Source organism: Homo sapiens, chromosome 7 (assembly GCF_000001405.40).
Source record: "Homo sapiens chromosome 7, GRCh38.p14 Primary Assembly".
Lineage (NCBI taxonomy): Eukaryota > Metazoa > Chordata > Mammalia > Primates > Hominidae > Homo > Homo sapiens.
The window spans coordinates 32,209,367-32,228,533 of NC_000007.14; the positions used below are offsets into that span (position 1 = coordinate 32,209,367).

The window sequence follows — 19,167 nt, forward strand, 5'->3', positions numbered from 1 at the left end:
TTCCTGCATTACTATTTTATTAACACCTGACAGAATTGAAGAGCTATACCGCATGGGGGAAAGATCTCTGGAGAACATTTTCTGATGGAGACCAGGAAAGGAGTGAAACAAGATTTACTCACGAGAGAAGCGGGCCAGTGGTCTGGCATTCTTGTCTCCAGCTTCATTTGCAACTAGAAAAAAAAAAGAGGATGCAATTTAAATAAATAAAGCAATGTGTCCACCAAATATGCCCCAATACAGCCAATCCCCTGGATGCTTTGACATCGGGCTGTATTTAAGAGTCTTTGTAAGTGAATAAAAGCAACTTTACTCCCTCCGTGTCTGTATTTCCAAGGCTGCCCTCAACACCTAAATGAAGTCAAATGTCTCAATCATTTTGATTAGAATATTTGGATGAAGCTAGAGAGGATCTCAACAACATCCAGTTTAGTAGGCCTAAAGAAGTTAATTGGCTTACATCCACTTAGTAAGAGGCACACACACCAGCTTCCAAGCTAGTGGACGTCCTTTGGCCCCAAGAGTCCTCTAACAGTGCTGTCTGTCAACATGCAAATGCACCCCAAGCATCGAAATGAATCTGGTTTCCTAGGATCCATAGGGGCAAAGCTGAGGCAGGAATTTCGGAAGATAAATAAAAAGCTGGCTTTATGTTCAGAAAGATATTAAATTTAGATGCTAACAAACAGGGAAGTTCATTAATAGAATTGTTCAGAAAACTGCCCTAGAAACCTTACCCCTAAAGCTTCTCAGCAGGGCAGGCTACCTCCTACGAAAAGTCTCCATATAACTTATCATTGGATAGAGTCATATTTAATGTCCCTTATAACTTATGAACCCATTGTATTGGGTAAAAGAGATTGGTTGTTAAGGGGAAACACAGGTTTCACTCATTTTAAATACCATGTTTCATGCCCATAAACATTATACCTTGGTTGTTGTATGTATACATAGCAGACAGACATGGGTATTTGTGATCTACTTGGATAAATGCCTAAAGCAATCAACAAGAAACACCTGTTCATTCTAGCTGAGAAAAAAGCATTCAATGCATCAACAGAATAAAGGAGATTGCTAACGTCATCATGAATGTATGAGAAGTTGCAGCAAAAGGACAAAACCAATACAGTAACTACTTTCTAAACTTATTATATCGTTTTACAAAGAATGAAAGAAGTCGAAAAATTTATTCCACCCTCTCACAAAGGTAAGTATTTTAAAATTTACTGCATTTGAGCAATTTTTTAAAAATTAATGGATTCCATCTCAGTATATTTTGTTTTTCTGGCATTAGCTTTGCCTCACCATCTACACTCTATTACTAATAAGGCCAATTACTAATTTGGGCAATTTGTCTATTACTAATTTGGGCAATTTTTAAAAATTAATAAATTACATCTTAGTATCTTTTGTTTTTCTGGGTATTAGCTTTGCTTTATCATCTGCACTCTTACTATATATTACTATATATAAGATGTTATATAAAAATGACCAGCAGGGGGAGGCAATAATTCATCCAGCTCCCATCGTCTGTCACACCGCAGCATTTCAAAAAAAGAAAGAAATGGGCCTGGCGCGGGTGGCTCACGCCTGTAGTCCGGCACTTTGGGAGGTCGAGGCGGTCGGGTCACGAGGTCAGGAGACCAGCCTGCCCAAGATGGTGAAACCCCATCTCTACTAAAAATACGAAAAATTAGCCGGGCGTGGTGGTGGGCGCCTGTAATCCCAGCTACTCGGGAGGCTGAGGCAGGAGAATCAATTGAACCTGGGAGGTGGAAGTTGCAGTGAGTCGAGATTGTGCCACTACACTCCTGCCTGGGAGACAAAAGCGAAACTCTATCTCAAAAAATAAAAAGAAAGAAATTAAATAATTACTACACTCTGCACCAAATACATTTTAAAAGAAAAGATTTCCATTTCAAAAAAAAGATCTAGAAGTTCTAAGAACAATGGCTATTCTTGCTGTCTTCTAAAATGTTTTGTAGAACCACCACATGAATATAAATAATTCACATTCATATTCCTGCCTCCACTCAGAGCTACATCCAAAGTATTTCAGAACAATGGTCAACTATCTCAGTAGAAGTCTTTAACCACAACTGCATATCCTCACATCAGGAAAATTTGGATGTTATCATAGCTAAGTATTAAAAAAATCTTATGAGCACTTGGAAAGCTCTCAAGAGTTGTCTATAACCAAAGTTATCTTATAATAAAAAAAAAGGGGGGGGTAAGAAAAGAGAGAGGGGAGGGAGGGACGGAGGAAGAACAAATGAGTCCCAGTTAGGTATAGACATGAATTTCCATGGCCTTGAGTTCAACTTATTTCTTCCATTTAGACACCGCAAATGTCTGAAGAAAGAAATAGAGCTGGGTGGGGCATAGTGGCTCACACCTGTAATCCCGGCACTGTGGGAGGCTGAGGCAGGAGGAACACTTGAGCTCCCGAGTTTGAGACCAGCCTGGGCAACATAGTGAGACCCTGTCTCCACAAAAAAAGTTTTAACAACTTAGCCGGGTGTGGTGGAGCATGCCTGTAATGCCAGCTACTCGGGAAGCTGCAGCAGAAGGATCACTTGAGCCCAGGAGGTTGAGGCTGCAGTGAGCTGTGATCAAACCACTGCACTCCAGCCTGGGCAACAGAACGAGAACCTATCTCAAAAAAAAAAAAAAAAAAAAGAAAGAAAGAAAAAAGAAAAAGAAATAGATCCAGGGTTTTACCAAAACCTTTGCTGCAGAAACTTTAAAATGACATTTTAAAATGGGATTACAAAGACCATTGCAATTGCTGAGAACACAGGCAACCACCTAAATGCTCAGCTTGGAGTGTGCACATTCTCCAAGAGTGTGCACATTCCTCCAAGAATAAAAGAACAGAGACACCAATGTCACTATTTCACACGCAGCAATAGCCACATCTTCACTCAGCCGGGCCCTCCCTGCCCACCACCCTATCCAAGGATGGGAATTGCTGACCCAGATCCAAGTCACGCCAGGAAAGGCAAGAATCAGGATCCAGACCAGTGGGACACCAGGAGAGTTTCCTCTATCCAGAAGGAATTTGAACCTCGCCACCAGCGTGATTTCCCTACAAACATACCCAATGCCACACTCCACTACTAGAGGGTCTCCCGTGATGCTGTAGCCCCTACAGAACACAATCCAGCTCACCTGCACCAACTTATTCTCCCACCTCATTTCCCAGAGCATACTCCAGCACTCGGTCACATGCGCTAGATGGACAATCCCACACACGCCCTTCACACACTCTTCCTGCCTGGCTCTGGCTCCTGCTGCCTGCTAGCCTTGGTGTACTCCTCCCTCATCTTCACCTGGCCAACTCCTTACTCATCCTTTAAGATCCAGGTGGAGCCATTCACTTCTGAAAAGCCTCCTCGCCTCACACCCCACCTTCTCCATCCCCCAGATCTTTGCCCATATGCGTAACTCCCCTTCCCACACCTGCCTGTTGTTCTCAAACTTCAGCAGGCATCAGAACCACCGAGCAGGTTTCTTAGAATACAGTTTCTAATTTGATGCATCTGGTGTGAGGCCCAAGAATTTACATGTCTGACAAGCTCCCAGGTGATATGGTGGGTGCTGGTCTGGGGATCATAAAAGCTACCCCACCCAAGGCAAGGATCATCACTTTTTATCATTGTAATTTCCATTCTTTTGTACAGTGACTATGCATTCAGTCAATATTTTTGGAACTCAAGTAGACTGAATGCCACAAACAGCTTAGTAGACCAGACATCTCAGACTGCCTTCCAGATGACTATAGGAAGCCCCAGGTGTGTTTTGTTTGGTCTCACTATGCTTTCAATTTTTAAACAATTGTCAGCCCACATTTAAAAACCAAGAGATTTCAAATAGAAATACATATTACTGGCTTCCTTCAAATTACTGGGGCGATTGGAACACAAGGCCCCCGTCCCACATGACAGCCATGGATCAACACTGAGATGGTCCCTCGGTGGCTCTGCCTCCTGGATATTCAGAATGCAACTCTATGCTGACTATTGTTGGACTATACACTCTGCATGGTCTAGAAGGCAGGTGAAAACAGAACCTCTTAAAGGGCTTAAAGACTGAAACTAAAATTCAACAGATGCTAGCACTACAAAAAGTGCTGTCGCCCGGCTCGTCAAGCCCTTCTGTCCCCAGTGCACAACTGCCCAGATGCGTGTGACAGTCCAACAGCACGCTGCAGGCCTGTTCGGACACACCCAGGCTTCTCCACTGGCACAGGAGCCCTCAAACACTGCTGCTTGCCTTGCATGTTTAAAAGTATACAGCAAGCTTTCACAATACAGTAGATGTTCCGTTTATCAGGTGCAATTAGAGCTTAAATGTGGTGAGATCTTATAAGAATGATTATGTAGGTTTATGGAAAGTTATCTATGCCATACTGCTCACAAAACACAGATTCTAGTTCAGAATGCATAAGGATTCTATTGACGTTCAGTTGCGTGTCTAGGCTACATGTGTATATAGGCACAGAGGGATGAGTAGAAGTGTGGTCACCAGATATATTAACAGTTATTTCTCCTGTGTGGTGGCATTTGAGAAAATCTGTAACTTTTGAAATACTTTTCTGCATAAACTCAATAGTTTATGATAATCAGGAAAAAATGTTTTTATTAGAGGGTATAAAACAATTGGCTATTGCTCTCTTTCAAAATATACATATTATTTTGGATATGTTTGTATATATATGTACATGTGTATGTATATGTGTGTATGTAAAAAACTTTTTATACATACACAGGTATAAATGTTTATACTATTTTTATACATACACGGACACATATATACATTTTATACACAAGTATATATGTAAAAAACATGTATATATATATATAAAATATGTTTTAGATTCTGATTTAAGGGTAGTCCTGGATCACAGAATTCAAGGCACCTGCCATCTCTAGTCCAAGAGGGCTCCTTGTAAGACTCAAGAAATGCATCTCTTACCCCTCTCTCCAGGGATCCCACACATTTTAGGTCAGTGGTTTCCAGCCCTGGACACACATTGGAATCACCTAGGGAATGTTACAAAATATTGATGCCCAGACCACACCCCAGACCAATTACACAGGGCCTCTAGGGGTAGGACTCAAGCATCAGTGTTTTTTAAGCCCCTGATCCCAGTGAGCAGCCGAAGTTGAGAAGCACTAATAAATGGTGCAACTCCGTACATCTTTACCAAAGGCAGGAGGACATGGCTTTGATTCCTTCAAAAATAATTACCCCTATTCACTTCTTCTTTTCAGGATGCTGTTGCTTTGTCAAAATCCTGAATCGAGCGAGGTATATCTCTGCTTTAAGAAAACTTCAACCATTAAGATGCAAACCTAACTATGGAGACCTATTAGTGGGCAACTCTTTGCATTGTAAACGGTTCTTTATAAAAGGATTCACCTCACATTGCCTCTATCCTTCAGCATATGTGGATTGAGCACCACCTGGGCGCTGGGCAGTGAACTAGACTCAAGGAGGGTTGCAACAATGGATTCCACCCAACCTGGACATACAAGCAAGTAAGGGAGGCAAACTGTGCCTGTCAATCTGGGTTTATCCAAGTGTGATCAGCTAGGGAAGTGACTTGATGATGATGATGATGATGATGATGCAGGTTCCTTGGTCCTGTGGCAGATCCACTGGGTCAGAATCCCTGCAAGTGAGGACAGGACCCTAGGTTGTAAACCAGGGGTCCCCAACCCCTGGGCCACAGAACCGAGCAGCCCATGGCCTGTTAGGAACCAAGCAGCACAGCAGGAGGTGTGCAGCGGGGACCGAGCATCACCACCTGAGCTCTACTCCCTATCAGATCAATGGCGGCATTAGATTCTCATAGGAGCATGAACCCTATTTTGAACTGTGCATGTGAGGGATCTAGGCTGCATGTGCCTTATGATCATCTGAGGTAGAACAGTTTCATCCTGAAACCATTCCCCCCAACACCCGTTTTGTAGAAAAAATGTCTTCCATGAAACCGGTCCCTGGTGCCATAAAGGTTGAGAACCACTGTTTTAAACAATTGCTCCAGAAGCCACTTGGGTACACTAATGTCTGAGAAGCAGCAATATAAAGGACATGTTCCCCTGGTGTGTTTGCTGTAGGTTTTCCCTCCCAAAAATTGGCCAGAAACAAATCTCAGAGTAAGTAGTTGCCATGGAGACCAATGGGAGGGAGGCAGGTGAGACAGGAAGATAACTTGGAGCAATGAGCATCCTAACCCCAGACCACCCAGGGGGCTCTGATGTCACAGCTACGACACAAACAATACAGGCCATCAGAAAGGACAAAGGAGAATAAAGGGGAAGCTAAGGTGGGCCAACCCGTTGTGGTGGTGGCCTAGAAAGGTGCACACTGCTTTGTAACCAGAACAAGCACCCAAAACACTGCCACCCCTGTTTTGAAAGCCCTGGCACCTGGGTGAGCATAAACACAGCTGGAGTCCTGGGTGCCAGGGCAAACACACAGTGAGCAGCAGACCCAGAGCAGAGCTTGGCTTCCTGCAAGGAAATCTGCCCAGTGCACTGGTTGGCTGCTGCTTTGCCACAGCCCTGGGTCTGGCTCAAGCATCTTATCCAAGTGAACTCTTTTGGGAAGGCTGGTGGCTGCAATGCCAGGCAACACAGACTCCCAAAGAAGAGAACATTGGAATGAGGTTCCAGGCACTTTCACTAGTGACTATAGAAGGTGAAGCTTGGAATTACCAGGTGTTTGACCTCACCTTGTCTTACCTTCAACTTGCAAAGACCCAAGCAATAGCAGAGAAAACAAGAAGGAATGCTGGGGGGAAGGAGACTTGGTGCAAAATCATCATTAACTATCCTAGCTCAGATATCGTCTTCTAGGTAGGACCTTCCATGACCACCCATTAAGACCACAGGTCCCAACTGCCCCCTTCCTCTAGTCCCCATCCCCCTATCCTAGTTTAATCCTCGCTACAGCACTTATCACCTTCTCATATGCTCTATACTTCAGTGGGTTTATTGCCTTTCTCCTTCCATGACAATGTAAGCTCCACACAAGCATAGATTCTCTGCCAATGAAAAAGCTGCTATCTCCCCAGTGCCCAAGTGCCTGGCATACAATATTTATGGACTGAATTAATGACAAGCCTCCTAGCAATCTACCATTCAGAACGTGATGGAGCCAAGGATATTGGAAGGAGACACAAAAAGGAAGGTGCAAGGATATCACATCCCTTGAACACTCTGAATATCCATTCAGATCTTCAAAAACCAGGCACTGAATAAATCATAGATACCAAATAAATCTGCAAACATCCAGTCATGGTCCCTGCCTTCACATTGAATAAGACTGTCCTTGAGTGCAGAAAGACTGGCTAATTTTTTTCAAGGCCACACAGGTTTTTTATGGCCAAACCCTATGTAAACCCAGGAGTATCTAGTGCCAAAGTCCATGCCTCTTCCACCTTTGTCTCTTTGCCTTCCAAGGAGGGGAGACCGGTAGGAACCATGCTCCAGAGAGGGCTGCACCGAGAGAAGAGCCAGGCTGCAGCCTTTATGCCTCTAGCCCCAGTGGGAGGAGGGTACCAGCCTGCAGGCAATGGGGGCGGTCACCCGCCTGGCCCCTGGTACTAGGCATAAGGCCAGGAGACTGTCAGGAGAGAGAGGCTCTTTGTTGAGGTGGGCAAAGAGGCCAGAACTCACAGCAATAGGATCCAGTAGAGGGAGAAGCTACTGACAAAGGGAGGAGCTTCATTGCCACATTCATTCAAGAGCCCCAAGGTGTCTCCCTAACCCTATTAAGCCTCCCATAGGTAGAAAATAGCAACAAGGAAATAGAATCTAGAATCAAATGCATCTCAGTATGAACCAGTACAACTCACAAAAACAGCCCCTATGAGGCAAATCGTATTCTCTTTAACAGGTGAGGAAAGTGACATTCCAAGAGATTAGGTAGCTTGTCCAAAAACAGACCAAGGCAAAGCAGTAGAGTGAGAAATGTCATCCATTCCTTCCAGCTCTGAGTCCAGCATTCTCAGAGAAGGGATGTGCCCCATCTGTTTAATTGTTGCGTGAGGATCAATAGTAAAGCAAAAGGCTTGACTTCCTTTGCCCCCATGTGGTTTGATAAATGTTGATGCTTGACAAGCCTGGGATCTGTTTCAAGCTTAAAATGTATAAATGCATATCTCTGGCGATGGCTGAATCGTGTGCTGTGTTGAGAAGTCTTCTGATGCCAAGACTGAGCTTAGCAAGATGTGTTTGTGACACATGACCAAAGCCTGCCATGGTTGGGGTTGGGGGAAAATGAAGGGAGGAGGTAGGATGGGTAAATGGGAAAACCCAGCCAGGTTAAATGGAACATAAAAGAATGTGGCCATGAAATGGATAATTCACAAAGGTAACTGACTTCATTCAACACATAGAACATATTATCCCAGTTGCTTAAAATGAGAAATGCTATATAATACAATAACTTCATACACCCAGGAGCCATCCAAACAGACTGGGCATTTCCAGAAGGCTGTCCTCTAAACCAGACTTAGCCATGCCTTTCACAAGGCTGTGGTCTTGTTAAAATGCACATTAATTGCCTGGGATGAAATAACTTGCAGTGGTAGGTCCAGACATAGAAGATGGGACTACCTTATTTCAGAGGCAGTGCCCTTCACCTCGTGCTACCCATCACATTTTCAACATCCAAATGTTACTACCACACCACCAGCCTCATTGCCATGAAATCCAGTCCCTTGTCTCCCCTCCACTTAGCATCAAGTCAGAAGCCTGCTCCTTACGGGAACAGATCTCAGCAATCCAGTTGAAATTTGTGCCCCAGAGCCATAAAAGGCATCACAACCCCCACTCTGTTCCTTTCCCACTTCTTTATTCAGAAATGCTCAGCATTGCCTCATTATGCCTTCCGGGCCAATTTGGCTGTCAAATCCACTCTGAATCAGGCACTTGCACAAAAGAAAATAAAACTAATTTGTAGTTGATGATGCATCAGGGCTGATAATTTGAAAGTGGCAGGGATGGTGCACTTTCCAGACCCTTCTCTCCTAGAGTAATGGGCAAATCCTTACAGAGGGCAAGGCTCACCTGCCAGAGGGCAGGATGGCTCCCTGGCTCGTGCAGCCCAGGGTATCACACAGACAGAGGGAAAATCCAAGAGGCCTTTACCAAGCTGAGAAGACAGCTTGAAAAACACATATCCTGTACTTTTTCTTTTAGTTTGGAAGAATTTGAGTCATATGTAGAGGCTCAAGCAATCTATTTCTTCCCTGGACCTAATTTCATAAGTTTGCTTATTTATCTACACTCTATCTCATTTCACAATTTGTATTTTATGTTTTGCTCTATGCTCCTATCCTTTATGCAACAAAGTGAGATGTTAATGAAAATTGAAATTTACTTATTTCAATCAATTCCTTGCTCCCTTTCCCTGATCCCGCTTTCCAAACTTCCAGATTTCAGGTTGACTCTACAGGGCCCTCCATTACACCAAGATCAAACAATCAATTGCCATCTGTTTAGTCTCCCTCCCATCTGTTGGGCTCCCTCCTCACAGAGCTGTGCTGGATGTGACAATGGATGTAACCTCATCCTCAGGTAGCCAGGAATCCAGCTGAGACCCAAAGGCCTGGCCCCGAGCTTCCTGGTACATATCATTCAACTTGTTGCCATATGAATTTATCAAGGTGTTTGGTGTTTCTGTGGAAATCATCAGGCCAAGCTACCAGGCCCTGACTTCAGGAAACTTGAGATCTCATTGTGGAAACATAATTTTCATGCATGAGATGACCCAAGCTCTGTTGAATGCTAGACAAAGGGTCCTTTGTGGCCTGGAGTGACTAGTAGTGAGAGGTTTCCTGGAAGACGAGGACAGGTGAGATTAGAGAGGTGGAGAGGATGATGGAGTCTGCCCAGGGAGAGGAAAGGGGTGTGGTGCATTCTAGGACCTGGGAGCAGACTGAGATGCATCAATTATTCATAAATATTTCCCTTTCATAGCAAGAAAAGTTTTTTTATTGGAGGAGGGGAGTAGTAAAACGCCATGAAAGGCTAGCACTCAGATCTTTCTATCTGCCTTCTTCCCTACTTCCATATACAAATATGTTGCATCTGCAGATAGGGATGTGACTTTATCTAAGAGCAGATGTGTCTGAACATGCTCTAAATTCAGGTGCTGGGACACCAGTCCAGTGCCAGCAATCGCTCCAAAGCACTGCCGCCTGACTTGGATGTGAATTCTTCCTTGTGGTGATGTCCTGGGTGGCCCAGTCCAGCCCTCCTGGTTGATACCCTGGTGGCCACCATAAGCATCAGGCTGCAGGACTGCTGGCTCGCATGGGGCCCCCTGCAATCCTGGCCTCACTATAACAACCCAGCTGAGCAAACCAGGCAAAGCCAATCACTAGCAGTTAACATGAATCAAAAGTGTTGAGACAGAAATACAATATTGATATGGTTTGGCTGTGTCCCTACCCAAATCTCATCTTGAGTTGCAGCTTCCATAATTCCTATGTGTTGTGGGAGGGACCCAGTGGGAGATAACTGAATCATGGGGACAGTTTTCCCCATACTGTTCTCATGGTAGTGAATAAGTCTCACGAGATCTGATGATTTTACAAGGGGTTTCCCCTTTCACTTGGCTCTCATTCTCTCTTATCTGCCACCATGTGAGTCATGTCTTTTGCCTTCCACCATGATTGTAGCCTCCCCAGCCACATGGAACTGTGAGTCCCTTAAACCTCTTTTTTTTTTTAAATAAATTACCCAGTCTTGGGTATGTCTTTATCAGCAGTGTGAAAACAGACTAATACAAACATCAAGCTGGTTGCTCAAGCTGTCAACTAATTACAGTCCACCCTGGACAAGGCAAAGAAAAGTATACAGAAGAGGTGGAGGGACACTCAAATTTATTAAGCCCCTTCCTCATGCCAGGCACCAGTAGGAACTTTATGCCCATAATTTTTATTCAATTTTCACACTGTTCCAGGAGGTAAGTAGTAGTATTCCCTTTTTCAGATGAGGAAGGTGAAATTTAGGAAAAGTTAAGTCACTTTCCCAAATCAACACTGAGAAGTGGGAAAGCTGGGATTGAAACCCAGTCTGTGAGCCCCTTTCTTCTCTTTTCTCTACAGCTCACACCATCAGAAAGCACATTAAGAACCCTCTGGTCCAGCCGGGCATGGTGGCTCACGCCTGTGATCCCAGCACTTTGGGAGGCCGAGGCGGGCGGATCACGAGGTCAGGAGATCGAGACCATCCTGGCTAACACAGTGAAACCCCGCCTCTACTAAAAAAATATAAAAAAAATAGCTGGGCATGGTGGCAGGTGCCTGTAGTCCCAGCTACTCGGGAGGCTGAGGCAGGAGAATGGCGTGAACCCAGGAGGTGGAGCTTGCAGTGAGCCGCGATCGCACCACTGCACTCCAGCCTGGGCGACAGAGCGAGACTCCATCTCAAAAAAACAAAAACAAAAACAAAATCCTCTGGTCCAATTCCACATATCATGCATGGATCCCCTACAACATCCCAAACAAGTGGGCCTCCAGCTCATGCCTGAACTGTCTCTAGGGATGGGAGCACCTTCCTTCTGGAGGCAGGAAGCAGTTCTCCAAAAGAAAGGAAGCTCTTCTTCGTAATGATGCCATCCTTCCAGAGGTCTTCATGCTGCCCCTCACAGAATAGGCCTGGCTCCCTTTCCTCCTGAGGGCCCTTCCAACATTTGAGGACAACTGTCATGAACTCAGACCCTTGAGCCTTCTCTTCTCCAAACTGACAAGCCCAGATCCCTCCTCCTGTGACAAAAATGCCCCAAGGCCTTTACCCACAAAAGCAAAGTTACTTAAGTCATTGCCGAAAGAAGAGAATATTTGTATTTTAAATAAGCCTCAGCAACACATTCTTCAACCCCACTCATTCCCACAGTGATCTTCAGGCTGAGTCAAATTTCCATCTCCCTCCATCAAGCCCCTTTCTTGTTTGATTCTTGGGAGAAGTGGAAGGCACCTAGGAGCCATTTTCAGCATCATACGCCCCACAGCCATCCAAACAGGCTGGGAGTTTCCAGGAGGCTGTCATCTAAATCAGCTCATCTCAGACATGGCCATGCCTTTGACAAGCCCGTGGTCTTGTTAAACTGCAGATTCATTTTCAGATGCTCTGGACCAGGACCTGAGAGTCTGCATTTCGAACAAACTCTCAGGTGATGGCTCTGGTCCAGGTACCATACTTTGAGTAGCTCAGTGCTAAAGGACATAACCCGCATTGAAAAGGAAAAGCCAAGTACATGTTCTAAGAGCTCATTGGAAAGCCATGGATGGTTGTGAAAATGCATGCTATGGAATTTAATGCTCAATTCTCTTGGTTTTTCTTCAGCAATGTTTTTTTGAGAAAAATAACTGTTAACATCACGACTTTTTAAACCTGCCTAAGGAGAGATGTTGATACTGTGTAAGTGTGAGAAGGCATATCCAATGCAGAGGGTGATGGAGAGAAACTCACCCCTCTCAACTGGCATTCAACAGAGCAGAGCTGAGCTAGATCACTACCCACCTGGGCAAGCTGCCAGCAAAGCACAAAGCTCAAAATGTATCAGGAGATGCTCAGATCTGAGATAGGAAATCAACCTTACAGCCACAACTTCACTTGAGGTGCTCCTATCTGAGATAGGAAATCAACCTTACAGCCACAACTTCACTTGAGGTGCTCAAAGGCAGTACTTTGAGCTCATGAGATCTAGCATGTATATACACGCACACACACAAATGCACATATGCACACACATACACACTCATGCACACAAACACACCTCCCCAACATCAGATCAGGCATGCACTGTCAGCACTGTGATGTCCAGGAGCATAAATCATCGCATCGTTACCAACTGGCTTCAGGCTGAACAGATCAAAATGCATCAAATAAACGAAATGAGGCACAGGACATTCCCTTGGGCATTTTGGGCAAGGAACTTAGATGTTCACTAGACTGAGCTGCCCTCAGCAGAGCTACACCTTTGCATACTGTTTCCCCCAGACTAGCACAGGGCCTGGCACACTTGAGCTGCTCGATAAAGGGCCAGTCCTGAAGTCACAGAGGTCCTGGAATGGAGATGGACCATGCTGCTAGGAACTGTCCTCCTCTGTCCAGAAGCCAAAGAGCCTTTCTACCAACCAGTTAAGGACTTGATGTTAGCTTGGCATCTTATCTTCTAAGCCAGTTGGAAGTTGGGGACAATTTGGGGGTTACAAACTGGAGGCAGGTGTGTCTGGCTTGACAAGCATAGCATTTAAGAATAATCTGTCTGAATTTGGCAGGGACTAGTTCTCCAGGGTCGCATGAATGCCCATTGCTAACACCAGACCTGCTTCATTCCAGCTGCTTCCCAGAGATCTTCACACAGATGTGCATTAGGACTCTAACATCAAACATATCAAAGCAGAACTGTCTGTTTCTCCCAGAAATCTGCTCTTCCCCAGATTTCACCATCTCAGTAAATGGAACCACTTTCCCCCTACTCGCCCCTCCCCACAAAATTCATCAGGACAAAAATGTGACAGTACCCTTGTTTCTATTCTTTCTGTCATACTCATAGCCCTTGCATCAGTAAATCGTGCGGGCTTCACTTTTAAAATAGATCCTAAACTCCTACCACTCCTTCCAGCTTCTCCCCTGAAATTGACCCAAGCATGCAAGGCCCCTCACTTAGAGGTTCCCTCAGACTGCGGCACCTCCCTGTGCAAAGCCCTCAGTGTTTCTCCTAGTGTTCAAATCACTGCCTCCAAATCCCTTCCTGTCCAGAGTTCATCTTCTCCTCTCATCTGCTCATTAACTAAGCTCTCAAATCTGCCAAATGTATTCCCATTTCACTTGTTTTTCAAGCCTAGAATGCTATGCTGCTGGTACTAAGGGTCCAGTTGTAGTGGCCACCCTGACAGACCGTTCCACGTGCACTTACATGTGCAAACTCATGCAGTCTTTGTAACAGGGCTTTGTAACGGGGAGGCAGAGCTATTGTTATCCCCACTTTACTCATGAGGCAACTGAGGCACAGGGAAGTTAGGTGACCCACCAAGGCCATATAGCAAGTAAATGGCCCTATCCAGGGCCTCACTGAATCACTGCCACTCTGCCCCTTACAGAGCTCATCGCTTGCACAGCTGCCTTCTCACCTTACAGGATTCAGCTGAAACATCATGTCCCCTGGTACTTCTCTGACCATCCCGTCTCAAGCACCTATCAATATCTAGAATTAGCCTATTTACTCATGTGCTTACATATTTCTCCATCACAAACACAGACACAAAAGGATATAAGCTCCCTGAAGGCAGCCCCCAGCAGCCTCATTCTCTGTACCCTCAGAACCAGAATAGTGCCTGGCACAAGCCCCCCTCATCAAATATTAACCAACCTATTGCCTATTTTATATTAGCACCTGGGTCCTGCGGGTGCTTGAGTCTCCATCCTCCGTCTTGTCCTATCCTGTAACATTCCATAGGCTCCCGGCAGCTTCCTCTACAGGGCAGAGTCCACGCCCGGATGACAAAACGCTGCACAATGTGGCCCAGCCATCCCTCTGGCCTTGTCCCCACTCCTCCCTCCCAGCACACACCTGCACATCAGCTGTCCTGAGCTGCTCCACCTGCGGCCTTCTCAGATGAACTAGTCCCTCTCTGCAGGCTCCTATCCCTTGGCACCAGTTCTCTACAATGAGGAATGTAAAGATGGCAGGCTTGGCCGGGCACAGTGGCTCACACCTGTAATCCTAGCACTTTGGGAGGCCGAGGTGGGTGGATCACCTGAGGTCAGGAGTTCGAGACCATCCTGGCCAACATGGTGAAACCCCATCTCTACTAAAATTACAAAAATTAGCTGGGCGTGATGGCACATGCCTGTAATCCCAGCTACTCAGGAGGCTGAGGCAGGAGGATCGCTTGAACTCAGGAGGTGGAGGTTACAGTGAGCTGAGATCGCACCACTGTGCTCCAGCCTGGGCGACAGTGAGACTCCATCTCAAAAAAAAAAAAGACTGCAGGCTTTAGAGTCAGGCAGACCTAACTTGGAATCCTGACTCCTCTGCCATCTTACCAAACCTCTCTGAGTCACTTTCCTTGTAGGTAAAAATGTCACAATACTCACTCCTCGGGGTTGTCAGGATGAGGGATAAAATATGTAAAACACTTACAACGGTCTTGGCACATGACCATGATGAGCTGCTCAGTAAGAGGTAGATGGTGGTGGTGGTATTATTTGTTTAAGGTCTATTTGTATTAAAGAAACATGTGTAGAGACACTTCCTTAACATTGTTTGCATCTTCACTGAGCACGTGTGCGACACATAAATCTCAATAAACATCTACTGCAGAAATGGGTAAGGATGTCCTTGGAAGCTGCTTCCAGATGCCTCTAGCATCCCAGGAAGCCCAAACCCTGCTCTGGTCCTTTCATTTTGCTATTAACAAGGGAAAAACAATTGGAAAATGGATAAAATTGCATGTTCAGCACCTTTGATCTTACGTTAGAAGAAAAATAACCTAAAAAAAATGGGGGCAGGAAAAACCCAGCTATGGTCTCTGGAAGGGGATGGGAGAAGGAAGGCTGGCAATGAAGAGATCCCCCAGGAACTTGGGCATCTGATTGGACCTTCAGGAATCACCTTTCTTATTTAAAAAAAAAAAAAAGACTATTAAAATATACGACTAAGTATTTGTGAGTCGGAAAGAAATGAAGCATTATGGGCAAACCTATCGTTGTCAGTTTTCAAAGAAGGCAGTTTCTCATCACATACTGGCAACCTGGCTGGATTTGTTAAACTTCCACAGTGTCCCCTCTAAGACACTGAATGACGTTAAGGGGTGGTGAGGCAGCCTGTGCTTTTGGAATGCCCATTATAAACCTTCATGGACGCACCTGATTGGTTTTTCTTTTCGTCTCCCTTTGTATAAGTTTCTACACAGGTTCATTTTTATTCCAAAGCATTCAACATGCACACACACACACACAAACTCACAAACACACTCACACATACACACACACTCACAGCCCCTAACTGCCTGGAGAACCATAGCAGTTTTCATTTTCTGTTTCACAAGGCTTTCTGCTGCTGAGCTTAGAATCCACTCGCTAAGGATTCCAATACATGAGAAGTCCAGGGCACTCAGAGACAGGAAGCTTGTAGGGGTTCTTGTGTTAGGTGGGAGATTGGAACAAGACCCTGAGGAAATTAAATTTAAGCTCACAACGAGAATTCAAAAATATACTGCCCTTGAGTGTCCAAGGGGAACTACATTCCCTCGGCTCATCTTCATGCACAGCCTTGAGAAAGGAAAAACCAAGGAGGTGCACAGCCAATGGAAAGTGATTTTTCTATTCACTGTGAGCAACTGAGTGTCAGCAAAGCTGTGTTATGAAAGTTGCTTCTAGGCCGGGCACGGTGGTTCACACCTGTAATCCCAACACTTTTGGAGGCTGAGGTGGGTGGATCACGAGGTCAGGAGATGAAGACCATCCTGGCTAACACAGTGAAACCCTGTCTCTACTAAAAATACAAAAATTAGCCGGGCATGGTGGCACGTGCTTGTAGTCCCAGCTACTCGGGAGGCTGAGGCAGGAGAATTGCTTGAACCCAGGAGGGAGGGGTTGCAGTGAGCCAAGTTCATGCCACTGCACTCCAGCCTGGGCAATATAGCGAGACTCCATCTCAAAAAGAAAAAAAAAGGAAAGAAAGTTGCTTCAATTGTGTAACAGAGGATTTTGACGTCCATTGTTGTTTGTCATTTATAACACAGAGTAGTGATGGAGCTCTGGTTTTACAGTCCCAGGGCCTGGTTTTAAAGCCCCGTCTCTATCTGTCTGGCCCTGACTCCCTCACTCAGCCTCTGTGGGCCTGAGCTGCTTCTCCTACAAAACAACTGTACGGTACCTGCCCTATGGATCACACAGCATTGAGAAGAAACTAAATGAACTAACATAAACTATAAGGAGATGAGGGCCTCAAAGGGACTTCCTGACACACTGTGAAATTTTATATCTCAACTAATACAAAGAATTTTAATGTTTTAATCTCTTGGACAAACACTATGACCCCTTTATTCATCTTCAGGGTCTGTTTTTAAACATCATAACGGGTAATGATTAGTATAATGAGGAGAAATGCAACCAGTAAGAAGATGAAGCGGGCCTGGGGTTTAGATGGGCTGGTCAGAGGGGGGCCCCTGATGAGGGGCTTTGAGCAGAGACCCACGTGTAGTGGGGATGTCCACAGAAAAGCACAGCATGGGGAGAGAGTGGTCAGTGCAAAGGCCCTGAGGCAGAGTGTGATGGTTGGAGACCATGCCCACTGCAGTGTCTAGCACGTAGGAAGCACGCAGTATGCAGGAGCCACTGTGATCATGAGCATTGCTCTCACTGCTGCCGAAACACCGAGTTACCAGTCATGGGTGAGCCAAAGCCAGGGAAACCCAATATATTAATACATCACCACCAATGCTAGTTAGGGCCCCTTCAGACAGCAGCTCCCCAGCCAACACTGCAGCTCTGGGGGCTCTTTTTATGCCGCTACAGAAAACAGCCAGGTGCGGTCAGGGGCCGTTAGGAACAGGCACAGGTGGGCAGCATATTTACTCCACTTCATCCTCAATTGCTTTCTTCCTTCCCCACATTTGCCTCCTCCCTTTCCCCAAACGCACCTTCTGAGGAAAGGAGGTCTCTGCCCGCAGCCAACCTTGCAGTCGCACTGCTCACATGTGCTGAGTCCCTAGTGTGTGCTCAAGTCTGGGCTACGACCGGGAACCCTGAACTGCAACAAGGTGAGATCTTTCTCTCTAGGGGCTCACAGTTTGGGGAGAAGTTATGGGTAGAGAAAAAAAGCTGCTCCAAAATAATACCAGCCCAGCTGGAGAAGGAGCAGGGTGGTCATCAGCTCAGGGGGCACAGAGAAGGGAACATCCTCAGGGAAGCCCACCCTATACCACCCACGACATGATGTCCCCCGTCATATGTTCTCATTGTACCCACTTCCTTTCCTCTCTTTCCTTTCTGGCTCTTATGAAAACTGTAAATGAATAGCGATTTAAAGTCTATCTCCCCTGGTAGACTGTCGGCCCTGTGAGCCAGGGGGCTTGCTCTCTGTTGTTCACACCTGTATTCCTAGCACCTAACACATGGCTAGAACATGGCAGGGGCACTGAAAGACACCATAAATAAATGAAGGTTGCTGAACAACACAGCACTTCATTCTGTTGGGGAAGTGTGACATCTGCCTCTAAGATGGCTCCCAATAAGCCGCCTGCTAGAATCCAAACCCTATGTGCACTCTTCCCACACTGAATCAGGAAGGACCAATGTCACCAACAAAATACTGTAAAATGATGATGTATGACTTCCAAGGCTTGGAAAATGTCCAAGGCTCATAAGAAACATTGCTACTCCCACCTTGCTCTCTCTTAGATCAATTACTCTAGTGGGGAGACCAGGCAGCCATGCTATAAAGACATGCAAGCAGCCCTGGGGAGGGGTGCATCTGGGGAAGAACAGAGGCCTCCTGCCAAAAGCCAACATCAATTTGCCCATCATTTGAATAAGTCATATTGGAAGCAGGGCCACCAGCCCCAGTCAAGCCTTCAGATGACTGCAGCCCTGGCTGATATCTCAAATGTGATCTCATGAGAGACTCCAAGCCAAAATCACCCAGCCACGCTGCTCCCAGATTCCTGCCTCACAGGCATATGTGAGATAACACCTCTCTACTGTCATTTTAAGCTGCTAGGCTTCAAGGTAGTTTGTTACTCAGCAATAGATAACTAATACAAGAAGAGACTAGAGAACCTTCAGAGAACCAAACTTTGAAGAACAAAAAGGATTTCACCAGGCCCAGAGACACATGCGTTGTGTTTCTTACAGAGGTAATGAAACAAGGAAACTGCATAGGGGATTGTGTGCTCAAGAAATGGGAGAGCAACTCAGGTGGCTGGAGCACAAGGTACCAGGAATGCCATTGAAAGAGGAGGTTGGACCTGGGACCTGCATAGTCCTTGAATATTATTCTAAAGGATCTGGGCTCTTTAGAGGTGGGAATAATTATTTCCATCTTACAAATGAGACAACTAAAGCTTAGAAAGTTTAAGGAATTTGTCCGAGGGCACCCAGCTACTAAGTGGCAGTCCTGAAATTCAAATGC

At 45.6% G+C, this 19,167-nt stretch overlaps 1 protein-coding gene across 9 annotated transcripts in view; it reads right to left on the reverse strand.

The window, feature by feature from the left end:
* PDE1C (phosphodiesterase 1C) overlaps window positions 1-19,167 on the reverse strand; it is an 811,448-nt gene that overhangs the window by 592,590 nt on the left and 199,691 nt on the right. For all 9 annotated transcript variants that reach the window (XR_001744802.1, XR_001744803.1, XR_007060041.1 and 6 more), the window contains exon 2: window positions 123-173. Coding sequence is in view for 6 of the 9 variants with exons in the window: in NM_001191058.4 (NP_001177987.2) it covers window positions 123-173 (51 nt within the window). In the remaining 3 variants the exon portion in view is untranslated. The remainder of the gene's footprint in view (window positions 1-122; window positions 174-19,167) is intronic.